Consider the following 13,825-nt stretch of genomic DNA (forward strand, 5'->3'; position numbering starts at 1 on the left):
AGGAAGGTAAGCCCCGTGGCCCCGCGGCCAGATCGATTTACAAGTCAGAGTCGCACACCCTGAAGGAGTTCACAACACACACACACACACACACGCACTCACACACACCCCAATACAAACCTGAGACCCCCGCTCCACGCCTCTGCCCCCCCACCCCCCATATCCCACCAGCAGTTCAGGCCCAAAGCAAGACAGTTTTGTTCCGCGGCTGCTTCCCCCACGGAGAGGGGATCAAGCTTGGGGGAGAAAGGAATGAAAGCGAGGGGGAGGCACCGCAGACGCCCACCCTGCCACCCCCGATCCCTGCCTCTTCTCCCGCTAGGCTACCTCCTCCCTCAGTCCTCCCGGCTCCAGCAGGCGCGGCCGGCGACCTGCGCTCACCTCGGGTCCCGCCGCGGCCGGGGGCTGAGCCGGGGGAGGCGGAGTGCGAGGCAGCCGGGCGCTGCAGGTCGGCGCGGCGCGGGGCGGCGCGGGGCGGGGCGGGGCGGTGCAGCCGGCGAGGGAGCCCGGAACTCTGCGGGGCCGGGAGCCGGGGGCCGAGGGCCGGCCCAGAGCGGCGGCGGCTGCGGTGGCTGCAGCGGAGCGGTGCGTGGGGCCGGGAGCTTCCCGGCCCTGGGGCCGGCGCGGCTGGCCGAGGAGCAGGCTGGCAGCGGCAGCGGCGGCAGCGGCAGCCACCCGGGGGAAAGAGCCGGGGGAGGGCGGGGAGGCGGGGTGAAGAGGAGGAGGAAGGGGAGGAGGGCGGGCAGAATAAACTTCCCGAGGCGCAGAGGCTCGGGCTGGGAGCACGACCGCGGGCGGGGCGGGCGGACCAGCTGGGCTTGCCCCCGGGGGCGGCGGGGGAGACCGTCACAGAGAGTAGAAAAGTTCCCCCTGCGCCGAGGGGGAGGCTGCGGCGGCGGCGGCGGCTGCAAAGAGCAGGAGCCGGAGCGGGAGGAGCGGGAGGAGGAGGAGGAGGAAGTGGCTGCGGAGCGCTCGGCCAATGAGTGTCTGGAGCTGTGATTAACCAGGCAGCAACACATCATTTCCTCCCGGCGCGGATCCAGGGAGCCGGGAGGGGAGAGAGGAGGCGGCGGGGCGGGGCCGTCCCCGCGCCCCCTGCAGGCGCCCGGCCGAGGGCGAGCCCGCCGAGCCCCGCCGAGCCTGACCGCGCCGCCCCCGGCGCGCCTGGCGCTGTCTGGCCGGTCGCTTGGCCCGGGTGGAAGCTATGAGCGCGCCGCCAGCGGGGCTCCTCGGAGGCGGCGGGGCAGGCCCGAGCTGGGCTCCTGTGGCCGGGGTGGGAGGAGAAGAGGCCGCGCGGCACGGGTGAGTGCCCAGGTAGGCGCGGGCGGGGCCGTCTGGACAGCTCCCGAGGGCGCGCGGGGCAGGCGGGCGGACGGGCGGGCATCCCGGGCCCGGCGACTGCGGGCGGCCACCTACTCGAGCCCTGCATGTCAGACTTGGGCTGGATTCTCAGAGAGAAGCCTTAGCATTCTCATCCAGGCCATCTCTGACCTGCCTTCAGATCCCCTTCCACTTTGCTCATTTCCTTGCAAGGTCTAGGGTTATGACAGAGCTTGCCATGTTCGCCTTTGGCTTCCTTAGTAACAGAAATAAGCATGGAGGGGCTTCTGCAGTGATCTAGCCCTGTCCTAGGCGCCATGGGAGCTTACAGTGGAAATGCAGGAACATTCTCCGCTGCAGAGAGTCTGATAACCTCGGTCCTTAGATACACAAAAACACCCCAGTGTGCTAATATTACCCAGAGCATCAAAAAGGCATGCAAGGATCAAATTTTGCATGGTTCCTGCTGAGTGTAAAGGAAAGCACTAAGCCATTTTCTCTGCCCTCTAGAAGCTTATAATGTACAGTCCTATCACAAAGCAGAATAAAAACATGAAACCTATAAATGGGAATGCCATAAAGTATTTTTATCTCTACAGGTTCATTCATGCAGAGGGCATTTATTGGGTGACTGCAGTACTGCAAAAGGTTGCAAAGGAAATGGAAGATCTGGTCCCTGCAGGTTGGGAGTTTACAATCTAATTAGAAATACAAGGCATATATACGTGAAAAAACTAGAATCCCCAGCTGTAAGCAAAAGGATGGAGTAGGTGGGAGCATTTTTTTCATAAAGAGAGCTTTGTACCTGTATGATTGGTGAGGAGCAGGAGAGGCAAGTTCAGTACCAATCAAGGCAAGAGCACCTATATGTATCCCTGCTCTATAGAATGATGTAACAGGGCCCTCATTGTCACTTGGCTGAAGTGTCAGCTCTGCCACTTACAAACTGTTTTGAACTGGGGCACATTTTTAACCTAAGAAGGGAATACAGGTTGTCTCGTGAGGTGGTTGTGCAGTTCAAATGAGATTACAAACGTGAAAGCTTGTGAAGCTCAATGATGTACATTCATGGAGTCCTCATTGTACAAACTGGCCCTTCTTGGTAACCTTTAGAGTTCCCTCCCAGGCTGTAAGCTGCAAGAGGGCAGGGACCAGGTCTGATTGTATTCATCATGTATCACAATGTTTAGCAGAAGGGTTCATGTGGGTGTTCAATAAAGTTTTGCTGAGTAGGTAAATAAATGAATTAATGAATCCTGTTATGCTCTGAACAGTTCCTATTATTTGTTCCTTAAGCAGTTCCTTCAATAGTGGTCTTATTGTATGGCTGGCTCAGTGAAAAACACTCTAACTCAACCTCCTGTGACTTACTAGTGTGCCAGGAGACTGGGAGAATTCTGGATGGTACTGTCAGAGGCATTCAAACCAGAGAAACTCCATTTTGAATGAGGGCTAGGAAAATGAGACTGAGACTGGCTGGGCTGCATTCTCGGGAAGTTAGGCTTTCTTAGCCTCTAGATGTTTACAGCTAAGGGAACAAATTAATAGTGTTTACTAAACAAACCCAGACTTGGGAGTGTCCAGATATCCCGATATCTGGAGAACAAAGGCATTCCTAATTTTGCTTTAAAGATAATATTGATTCTTGCAAAATATAGTAATTTATTTATTTATCACAAACTCTTGTAGCAGAGCACATCTCCCTATATATACGAGCGATGTACCTAGCATGGAATCGTTCCTCCTCTTACTTTCGGCAACATCCTACTTTGTCTATGGAGTAGGTGTCCTTTCACCACTTTGCTTTCTTAATAAACTGGCTTTTACTTTACACTGCGGACTCGCCCTGAATTCTTTCTTGCGTGAGATCCAAGAACCCTCTCTTGGGGTCTGGATTGGGACCCCTGCCCTAAAACATATTCCTGGCAACCACAGAAGGGACTTTAGTGCAGAAACCCTGACCCAACGGCTACCTTTGGGTAAGTGTTGGGGTCCTGTAACAGTACTTGTGGCCTTTCGACATAAAGTGTGTGTGTGTGTGTGTGTGTGTGTGTGTGTGTGTGTAAAGCAAGAGGCAAAAGGCTCCTCCACTCCTCCAGCAGGATACAGCCTTCCACACAAGCCCTGTGCACACAAGGATACAGCCCTTTGGCTTGGACACCTTAATCCGGGGTTTCTCAACCTTAGCACTATTGACATTTTTGGCTGGGTAATTGTTGTGAATGCTGTCCTGTGCATTGTAAGATGTTTAGCAGCATCCTTGACCTCTACTTACTAACTGCCAGAACACCCTCCCGCCACAGTTGTGACAACCAAAAATGTCTCCAGACAGTGCCAAATATTTTCTGGGAGGGGGTGCCAAACTACCTCCTGTTGAGAACCACAACCTTACTCTAATTCATTGATTGAACTCTGGTGGAAAATCACACCAGTAAAGTTACTTGGAGGAAATATATCTTCTGTTATTCTAAGATTTTCAGATCTCCTCAATCATATGTTTCAAGGAGCACGACTCTTGCTAATTAATTGCCTGCTGCATTGTGAATTGGCATCTCTTCTGTTTTCTGCATATCCTCCTCCTTTACGCCCAGATCAACATGTTCATTTCTAAAAGTCAACAGCTTTCAAAAACTATTAGGAAACAGGGTCTTGAGCAACCTAAGAGTCCTGTATGATATTTTTCTATAAAATTGGGGGAATTTATTTTATAAATAAATAAATTATAAATTTTATAAATAAATAAAAACAGCTTCTCTGTTACAGTGTGTTAAGCTTTTAGACTTACAAACAATAACCACATCCTCTTTGTACTGAGATTGTAAGTGATACGATAAGTAAGTCATAATTTTTAAAAATTATTTAACATATTTAACCACACTGAGTACTTTTCTTTCATCTTGGAACCATTTCTTTTTGGTTTCAGAGAGAGGTTTTATTTCATAATGGGATAAAAGAACATGTTTTCTTAGCTGGCTATAGTGGCTCAGGCCTGTAATCCCAGCACTTTGGGAGGCCGAGGCAGGTGGGTCACTTGAGGTCAAGAGTTCAAGACCAGCCTGGCCAACATGGTGAAACCCTGTCTCTACTAAAAATACAAAAATTAGCCAGGCGTGGTGGCACGTGCCTGTAATCCCAGCTACTCGGGAGGCTGAGACAGGAGAATCGCTTGAACCCAGGAGGCGGAGGTTGCAGTAAGCCAAGATGGGGCCACTGCACTCCAACCTGGGCCACAGAGCGAGACTCTGTCTCCAAAAAAAAAAAAAAGCATGTTTTCTTAAAATCTGTAAAGCAAAAATCAGCTTAATTATCAACTTCCAGAAGCAAATTCTTCAGAATATTGGTGGGATATTTGACAGCTGGTGATAATTCATGAAAATCCTGATGGATTGATGTGCTGTTCAACTAATAAAGGTTTCTTGAAGAAAAATAAAGATTAATAGTGGAAGGAAGGAACAAACAAATCCAGATAAGTCTGTTCACTAAGTAATGGGCATGTAGAACCAAAAAAAAAAAAAATCGCTGCTTATAGAAGACAATAGTACCATGTTTGTGATGTGAACAGACACTTTTGTTGAGCAAACAATATCGTCCGTCTCATTAAATAAGGTTATTTGAAGCATAGGTTTTATAGTTTTGTTTTTATTTAGCTTTAGTTTCATAGTTGTATAATGGTTACAATACATGCAGATGAGTTTATACAGTAGGCATCCATACAGCCTAGAAAAACAGCAAAGGTTGAGGGTTGAATGTGGTATATGGTAAAATAATTTTCCAATTTCTGTTTTGTTAGACTAGAATAATGACTTATATATACTCCTAGGGAGATCTCCAGGTTCTCTATGAATTCTTGAAATTTGTGCTTTTGCGTCAATCACAATGTTTTTACAACAATATATTAAAGAATTTAATATTGGGTATATTGTGGATCATATGAGTGTCTACCGTGCAACCATGACCCCATTGTCTTTTTTGCTATGTGCCTAAAAGGACATGCACCTTATTTAAATGATGTTTTAATAAAAATAAGGCATTACTGAAGGTTCATGGTCCTTTTTTTTAAAAGGTACATACATTTTAAAGCTGTGTATATCAGTCAAATGTGAGAAATACTAGCCCAGATGCATCATAACTGTTCTTGGAGAAAAATGAATTATAAGGCCTTGAGATCTTAAATTTAGTCCTAATCCTGAGGCCCTAAGAAACCAATATTATATTCTAAAGATCTAAGCAACTCGATCAAAATAGTAGGGGGTGGAAGAGAAAATCATAAGCAGAAAGGATCACTAAAAGTCGTGTCTGACTTGGCACCCTTTTTCTCAAAAGGTAAACATTTAAACCAGTCAGGACAGACATTTGTTTATCTTCCAAGTTAAACTTTCCCAGGTGTATCAATGACTCATTAATTGTGCATTTCATATAAGAGTTCACTGGCCACCTACCATATTCTGGGAACTGTGAGAGTTATACACAGAGTCCTCAAGCTGCCTATAGTTGAAATGGGTGTCAATGCAGTCACTCCTGGCATAGGAGGCTACGTACAAACCACTGTGTGACTATGGGCCAACAGTGTGATATAAGAGGCATTACAAAATTATGCTGATTATTTATTAAATGGTATTGAGGCACTTGGAAAAAAATTCTGTTAGTGCCTCCCCTCAAACCATTCCTGAAAATATTTCCAAAAGGAATAAAAAGTTAAATATATATACATATATTTAATCATAAAATTAACTCGAAGCAAATGTAGGTAAATATTTATCTTTAGATGGGAAAAGAACTTTCTAAATAAAAGCCATGGAAGAATAAAAGTTGATTTGCTTTACTATGGGAAAAAATTTCCCTAACATTTTGATTTTTGTCCAAAATGTTCCCTAAAAATTTTTAAGGAACAATCAAACAAAAGAAGGTATTTTCTACTTTGTTTTGTTTTGTTTTTTTTTGAGGCGGAGTCTCACTCTGTCACCCAGGCTGGAGTGCAGTGGCGTGATCTCGGCTCACTGCAAGCTCCACCTCCAGGGTTCACGCCACTCTCCTGCCTCAGCCTCCCGAGTAGCTGAGACTACAGGCGCCTGCCCCCACACCCCTCTAATTTTTTGTATTTTTAGTAGAGACGGGGTTTCACCGTGTTAGCCAGGATGGTCTCGATCTCCTGACCTCGTGATCCACCCACCTCGGCCTCCCAAAGTGCTGGGATTACAGGCGTGAGCCACTGTGTCTGGCCTTTTCTTTGTATTTTCAACAAATGCTCAAAGGATTAAAATCTTTAATTATAAAAAAACTTCAAATAAACAAAATGTACCGTCTAATAGAGCATTAAGCAAATAGTATGACTAGACAAGGAAAATTTAAATTATTACATATAAGATTTAGGAAAAAAGTTTACCATCTCCAAAGTTCTAAGAAAAGATAATACATACAAACAAAACTGAGATAAAATATTTAATATAATTATTTCACACAATTTGTCAGCAATTAAACATATTCTCTATTGGTAAATTTGACTTTATAAAGGACATAGTTGCTATGGAGAGTGTAAACTGGAAAACAATTTCTGGAAGATAATTAGGTGATATGTATCAAATATTTTAAAAGATTTATACCCTTGGACATTTTAATCCCATTTCAGAAATTTATGCCATGAAAATAATTATTATTAATCGCACAAAAATTTGTGTAAAAGAATAATTACTATCTAATAACTCTGAAATTCCAACAATAAAGCCTAAGTTGAAAAAAAAATAGAAGACAAAGGTAATATTCCAATTCCATAACCCTTATAAGCACATTCATCCATCAAATGTATACACAAAGAAAAAAGACTAGAAGGAAATATTCCAGGACGTGCAATACTTACATGAACTACGACTGACTTTTATTTTCTTCTTTACACATCTATGTGTTCCAATTTTTCTATAACGTACCACTTTTATAAGCAGAAATAATAAACATTATAAAAATAGAAATGCACATATTTTTAAAGGGTCTGACAATCATGGGACAAGACCTAACCGGTGAGGAATGCATATGGATTTTTATCTGTGAAGTGGGAGGTGCGGTGTTGTGAATGGAATTCAAATTTGACATTTTTGTTCTCCGGTAGTAAGTCCATCTCTTTCAGAAGAAATTTTTTCAAAGAACTCATAGAGCTTTGACTTGCTTCTTTGCCTGCATCTCAGGCTCTTTGTGACAACCTCCTTGTAGCCTCGAGGGATAGATGCCCATCGGGACTGTCCATGGTCTTGCTCACATTCTGAAGCTCCTTGAGTTTCTAATTTACTTAACTACTGTTAATTTAGCTACATTGTTGAGATGTGGATTTTAAAAGCTAGTCCCATGGCGGGAAGATCAAATTAATTTCTTCCTCAAATTAAACAAATGCATTTCAAATATAACTGTGTGGCTCTTGGTAGAACCCAGCACTACAGTGGCTTTTCAGTTTTAGGAAGCATTCTTTTTCCTGATGGGTCCTCTGAGCAATGGCATCATGAAGACATTTTCATGGATAAGAAATCAGATTAATTTTCTAAGTCCTAATGTAGCCCCATTCTACCAATATCTAAAATCCAAAGGCTTCCTTTTTATTAACCTACTTTTGTTCAGTGAAACTCCAGAGAGCAACTGCTAAGGTTAATTACATATATGTAGTGGAGAACTAGCTGTGTGACCCTAGGCAAGTAACTTCAGATTTCAGAGCCTAGTTTTTCCTCAGGTGTAGAGTGAGGGGTGGGTTGCACCTTGGAGGTCTCTGCATTTTGAAATTCCTCAAGTTAAGTTGGAAATCGTAGGAAGTTAATTGTTTGACATTGCTGATACTGCATTTGACGTTTCTGAGGAAGAAGAGCTTAAGATTTCTAGGAACTTAGTGAAGACCAGTGTTACTAGAGTGAAGTGAGCATGTGGTGAAATGGCCATGGAGGAGGATGAAGTAGCCTAGCCAAATTATGCAGGTCGCACAAGTCACCATCAAGGGAAGTGATTAAAAGGGTTTAAGTGAGCCAGGTGCGGTGGCTCACGCCTGTAATTCCAGCACTTTGGGAGGCTGAGGCAGGCGGATCACCTGAGGTTGGTAGTTCAAGACCAGCCTGACCAACATGGAGAAACCCCGTTTCGACTAAAAATACAAAATCAGCCGGGCGTGGTGGTGCATGCCTGTAATCCCAGCTACTTGGGAGGCTGAGGCAGGAGGATTACCTGAATCCAGGAGGCGGAGGTTGTGGTGAGCCGAGATCACGCCATTGCACTCCAGCCTGGGCAGCAAAAGCAAAACTCTGTCACAAAAAAAAAAAAGAAAAGAAGGGTTTAAGCAAGGAAGTGAGTGACAAATTTGCTTTACATCACTTATCACTGTACCCAATACGTCCATATGTCTCTGTTAATCGTTTTTTCCTAATAATTATTTTACTGTTTAAAAAAAGAAAGGTTGGGCGTGGTGGCTCACACTTGTAATCCCAGCAGTTAGGGAGGCCAGTTTGGGCAGATCACCTGAGGTCAGGAGTTCAAGAATAGCCTGGCCAACATGGGAAAACCCCACCTCTACTAAAAACACAAAAAATTAGCCGGGCATGGTGGTGGGCTCCTGTAGTCCCAGCTACTTGGGAGGCTGAGGCAAGAGAATTGTTTGAACCTAGGAGGTGGAGGTTGCAGTGAGCTAAGATCGCACCATTGCACTCCAGCCTGGGCGATAGAGCAAGACTCTGTCTCAAAAAAAAAAAAAAGAAAGAAGAAAGAAAGAGAGAGAGAGAGAGGGAGGGAGGGAGGGAGGAAAAGAAAAAAAGAAAAGAAAAGAAAGAAATGCAAGTATGCCGGTGCAGTGGCAGATGCCTCTAATTCCAGCACTTTGGGAGGCTGAGGCAGGAGGATTGCTTGAGCCCAGGGCTTGGGCAACATGGCAAAATCCCATATCTACAAAAAATACAAAGACAGGTGCGGTGGTACAGGCCTGTAGTCCCAGCTACTCGGGAGGCTGAGGTGGGAGGATCGCTTGAGCCCTGGAGGTCAAGGCTGCAGTGAGCCAAGATCATGTCACTGCACTCCAGCCTGGGCAACAGAGTGAGACCCTTTCTCCAAAAGAAAAAAAGAAAAGAAAATACACAAGTACAAAAGGATATATTGGATTCGGAGTCCAGAGTGCTAACTTACACCATGGAACCCACAAAAGGATATATTGTATAGTGAAAAATAAATTCCTGAACCACCATTGTTTCCCAACTACTGATTTCCCTCTCAATAATGCCAGCTTCCATGTATCCTTAAAGAGATGTTCTAGACATATGAAAGTACACATGTATTCTCTTTTGTCTTAACACAGATGGTAACATGCTATCCACACTCTTCTATCCTTTGCTTTCTTTTTAAAATTAAACCTAAAAGTTTATCTTGAAGATTAGTAGTTCTCCATTGATAAACAGTCTTCATCATTTCAACACAGTTGTTACATCCAAGTGTGTACTGTTGTTATAGTGCCACCTCCCTCAAGGAAGCACAGAACTCTAGACTTGGAAGCGACAGAAGATCTTATTTAGTCCCAGTCTGCCTTTTACACAGAAAAAGTTTGTTCCTGAAAATCCATGTGACTCTTCAGATTCCATAGCTAGTTAAGGCAAGGCTGGAACTAGAACTTGGTTCTTCTGTGATTATAAAGTTATACATGTTGTAATAAAAAATACTTTTTTGTTGTTTTAGAGACAGAATCTCACTCTGTAGCCCAGACTGGAGTGCAGTGGTGCTATCATAGCTCACTGTAGCTGTGAACCCCTAACCTCAAGTTATCCTCCCAATTCAGCCTCCCAAAACCCTGGGATCACAGGCAAGAGCCACTGTGCCTGGGCTAAAAATACTTTTTAAATGGTATGCCTGGTAAGATTTAATTTTTATTCTTTAAACAACCATATATGATGCACACAAATGAGCTTGGAGGGCTATTTGCCAAGATGCTGACAGTGGTAATCTTGGGATGATGGCAGTGCTGGTGATCTTATACTTTTTTGGATGTTTTTCTTTTTTTGACGGAGTCTCACCCTTGTGCCCAGGCTGGAATGCAGTGGCACGATCTTAGCTCACTGCAACCTTCACTTCCTGGGTTCAAGCAATTCTCCTGCCTTAGCCTCCTGAGTAGCTGGGATTACAGGCATGCACCACAATGCCCGGCTAATATATTTTTTTTTTTGGTAGAGACAGGGTTTCACCATGTTGGCCAGGCTGGTCTCAAACTCCTGACCTCAAGTGATCAGCCCGCCTCAACCTCCCAAAGTGCTGGTATTACAGATGTGAGCCACCACTCTCAGCCTCTTTTTTGGGTTTTGGTAGCAACTTTATTGGGATATAATATACATATACATACCATACAATTCACCCATTTAAAAGTGTACAATTCAATGGTTTTTCACATATCAAATAGCTGTACAACCATCATTGCAGTCAATTTTAAAATATTTTCATTACCCCAAAAAGAATCCGTGCAGCCATTAGCAGTTTCTCAACATATTTATACATTTTTTCCGCAGTTTAATTTTTTTATTTGTATAAATTTAATGGGTACAAGTGCAATTTTGTTACATGGATATATTGAGTAGTCATATGTTTTTTATTCATATCTTGTATTTCCTAAAATTCTTGCAATAATTGTTACTTTTATAATAAAAATAAACATCTGTTACAAATAAAGTTAATGCAACATATACTATAAAAATAAACATAGGCTGTGCACAGAGGTTCATTCCTGTAATCCCAACACTTTGGGAGGCTAAAGAGGGAGGACTATCCTGTAATCCCAACACTTTGGGAGGCTGAAGAGGGAGGACTATTTCAGATCAGGAGTTCAAGACCAGCCTGGGCAATATAGTGAGACCCCTATATCTTTGAAAAAAGAAAAAGAAAATTAGCCGGGTGTGGTGGCACATACCTGTAGTCTCAGCTACGCAGGAGGCTGAGAGGCTGAGGCAGGAGGATTGCTTGAGCCCAAGAGTTCAAGGCTGCAGTGAGCCAAAATCGTGCCACTAGACACCAGTCTGAGCAACAGGGTGGGACCCTGTCTCAAAAAAAAAAAAAAAAAAAGAGAAAAGTATTTCAATAAAGGTAAAACTGATTTTACTGTCCAATGTAAATAGATATAATATTTTAGATAAATTTATCTTGCTTTTTTCATTATTCATATGTTATATATAAATATAAATATAAATACACATGGTTTTCTGTGACTCTTCTAGTTTTATTGTGAGCATTGTCCCAGATCATTAGATAGTCTATGAGAGTACGATGATGGGGAATGTCATCATCTCCTTAGGATAGATTCTTTTTTTTTTTTTTTTTTTTTTTTTGAGACAGAATCTTGCTCTGTCGCCCAGGCTGGAGTGCAGTGGCACGATCTTGGCTCACTGCAACCTTTGCTTCCCAGGTTCAAGTGATTCTCCTGCCTCAGCCCTCCAAGTAACTGGGATTACAGGTGCGCACCATCACACCTGGCTAATTTTGTATTTTTAGTAGAGACGGGGTTTCACCATGTTGGCCCGGCTGGTCTTGAAATCCTGACCTCAAGTGATCCACCCACCTTAGCCTCCCAAAGTGCTGGGATTACAGGCGTGAGCCACCACACCCAGCAGGATAGATTCTTAAAAGTAGGAATCCAGATGATATTTCCAATTGTCCAGTAACAGGAACTCTCTCCAGTGGCTTGTCCATCTTACCACATCATCTTTGTCACCACACCTTCTATTATCGTTGCCAGTTTGGAAATTTTAAAAGTTAGCTACTTCAATCTGAATATATGATTGCTGATGAGATTGTAACTTGTTCATAAATATATGTTAGCTGTTTATTTTTCTAATTTTCTTTTTCATTAAAGCCCTTTGCCTACTGTTCCATTAGCACTTTAGTATTATTTTTATTGAAAATAGTATAAAGAGGTTTGGGTTTTTTTCCTGCTGAGGAATGACCAGGTAGAAATTCTAATCTGCAAACAACTTTTAAAGATTATCTTAGTTTCCACTTGTTATTTTTCCCATCTTTGCAGTGGGGCTGGCTGCCTTTCTCTTGGGAACTCTTTTCATTTCTATTGTACTGAAGGAGTCACCAGTGATGAGGGAGGGAACAGTCTGAAAAGTTTGTTTTATTTTGATAAAATGGTTGTTTGCCAATTATATTCTAAAGCTCCCAAAATAATATTGTATATACTATCAATAATATAAAAACTGCATTAAGTAATGTTTGATTTTCCTAAGTAACCATAAAAATTGTGTTCAACCAAATTCATCTATCCCTATCAAGGTTAACATCAACACCAAGCCAAATAGTACTAGACTATAAAATGCACCAAATCTTGCTTTACTTTTCTCTTTGACAAACATGAGTTTTTAAACCAATGAACGGTCTGAAGTTTGACTATGACTCAGTTCCTCCTAGTGCTCTACAACAGAGTACAAAAGGTTACCAAATCCTCCAGTTTCTGACACAGAAATCCAATTTGGAATGAAGGAAATAAACGTCCCACTCTTTAACAGCTAAAGATGTTACTGATGACATCTAAGAATTTGGAGTTTCAAAATGTGAATTGTGAAAACATTTGAATCTCTTCATAATGGAAAGGACTTGGAAATGGAAAAGAAATACGCATACTTGAAGGAAAAAAATTGTTGGTGCCAGTGATTATTCCTAGATAGAAAATGGCCACATAATCTATTTGGTGAAAAAGGAGAAGAAAAAGGCAATTTATTGATCTGGATGAACATGTTCCATACAACCTCTCGTAGAGATGAGATGAGCTTTTAATTGGAAAAGCTTGCTCTGTTGCTGCTAAAGGTCAGAAGTTCCCTGTTGGCGAATCAAGTGCGGATTTGTTGGCAAATCAAGTGTTCATCGGAAGTTTTTCTGCAGTGAATTGTCTGCTTCCACTTGATTCTCATTTAGATAGATATTAGGCACCAATGAAATTGAATAATCGTAACACAGTTTACTTAGATACTATTTGATCTTGAAAATAAAACAAAAATTGCTTTAGATGTTTACAATTATCACTACTCAGCCTTTGAAATAGAATGATTGAATTTTCTATTTTGAAGCAAATTTTGAACTAATTTAATACAGCCCTCAATTTTTTTGTGTGAATTTGATGATATTAGGGTTTCTGTTTAATGAAGTTTCAAACATAAGCAAAAAGAGAAAAAATAGCATAATGAATGCCAGGTATCTATCACCAGGTTGAACAACAATCAATATCAAGCCAGAATTGATTTACTTGATTTGTCTGTTTCCCACTTTCTTTTTTTTTTTAAAGTATTTTAATATAAAGTTCAGCCATCATGTGATTCCATCCCAACATCTTTCACTAAGCATCTCTAAAACATATGGACACCTGGGTGCCATGGCTCCCACCTGTAATCCCAGAACTTTGGGAGACCAAGATGGGCAGATCCCTTGAGACCAGGAGTTCAAGACGAGCCTGGCCAACATAGCGAAACCCCATCTCTGCTAAAAATACAAAAAATTAGCTGAGTGTGGTGGTGCACACCTG

At 42.7% G+C, this 13,825-nt stretch overlaps 1 protein-coding gene and 1 long non-coding RNA gene across 7 annotated transcripts in view, besides 7 other annotated features; one reads left to right on the forward strand and one right to left on the reverse strand.

Moving 5' to 3' along the window:
* The window catches only part of ACVR1 (activin A receptor type 1), a 139,885-nt gene extending 138,969 nt beyond the window's left edge, over positions 1-916 (reverse strand). For 3 of the 5 annotated variants that reach the window (NM_001347665.1, NM_001347664.1, NM_001347666.1), the window contains exon 1: positions 382-448. The gene's annotated coding sequence lies outside the window, so the exon portion shown is untranslated. Of the gene's footprint in view, positions 1-327 lie in introns of all 5 variants that reach the window. The other 2 variants (NM_001111067.4, NM_001347663.1) reach the window with 2 other exon arrangements.
* Positions 388-597: a silencer, noted in NCBI's record as "silent region_12030". NCBI's record gives its function as "represses an Ori minimal core promoter by ATAC-STARR-seq in GM12878 lymphoblastoid cells {active_cell/tissue: GM12878}" and the evidence as "EXISTENCE:reporter gene assay evidence [ECO:0000049][PMID:35858748]".
* Positions 688-737: a silencer, noted in NCBI's record as "silent region_12031". NCBI's record gives its function as "represses an Ori minimal core promoter by ATAC-STARR-seq in GM12878 lymphoblastoid cells {active_cell/tissue: GM12878}" and the evidence as "EXISTENCE:reporter gene assay evidence [ECO:0000049][PMID:35858748]".
* Positions 748-967: a silencer, noted in NCBI's record as "silent region_12032". NCBI's record gives its function as "represses an Ori minimal core promoter by ATAC-STARR-seq in GM12878 lymphoblastoid cells {active_cell/tissue: GM12878}" and the evidence as "EXISTENCE:reporter gene assay evidence [ECO:0000049][PMID:35858748]".
* Positions 748-1,267: a biological region, named in NCBI's record as "Sharpr-MPRA regulatory region 13798".
* Positions 863-1,157: an enhancer, noted in NCBI's record as "tiled region #13798; HepG2 Activating non-DNase unmatched - State 4:PromP, and K562 Activating DNase unmatched - State 1:Tss". NCBI's record gives its function as "activates a minimal TATA promoter and a strong SV40 promoter by Sharpr-MPRA in HepG2 and K562 cells {active_cell/tissue: HepG2 | K562}" and the evidence as "EXISTENCE:reporter gene assay evidence [ECO:0000049][PMID:27701403]".
* Positions 1,028-1,267: a silencer, noted in NCBI's record as "silent region_12033". NCBI's record gives its function as "represses an Ori minimal core promoter by ATAC-STARR-seq in GM12878 lymphoblastoid cells {active_cell/tissue: GM12878}" and the evidence as "EXISTENCE:reporter gene assay evidence [ECO:0000049][PMID:35858748]".
* LOC105373714 (uncharacterized) overlaps positions 1,170-13,825 on the forward strand; it is a 41,791-nt gene continuing 29,135 nt past the window's right edge. The window contains exon 1 of one of the 2 annotated variants that reach the window (XR_923517.3): positions 1,170-1,314. This is a non-coding gene — a long non-coding RNA (uncharacterized LOC105373714). The remainder of the gene's footprint in view (positions 1,315-13,825) is intronic. The other variant, XR_923518.3, reaches the window with a different exon arrangement.
* Positions 1,288-1,477: a silencer, noted in NCBI's record as "silent region_12034". NCBI's record gives its function as "represses an Ori minimal core promoter by ATAC-STARR-seq in GM12878 lymphoblastoid cells {active_cell/tissue: GM12878}" and the evidence as "EXISTENCE:reporter gene assay evidence [ECO:0000049][PMID:35858748]".

Source organism: Homo sapiens, chromosome 2, assembly GCF_000001405.40.
Source record: "Homo sapiens chromosome 2, GRCh38.p14 Primary Assembly".
NCBI classification, from domain to species: Eukaryota; Metazoa; Chordata; class Mammalia; order Primates; family Hominidae; genus Homo; species Homo sapiens.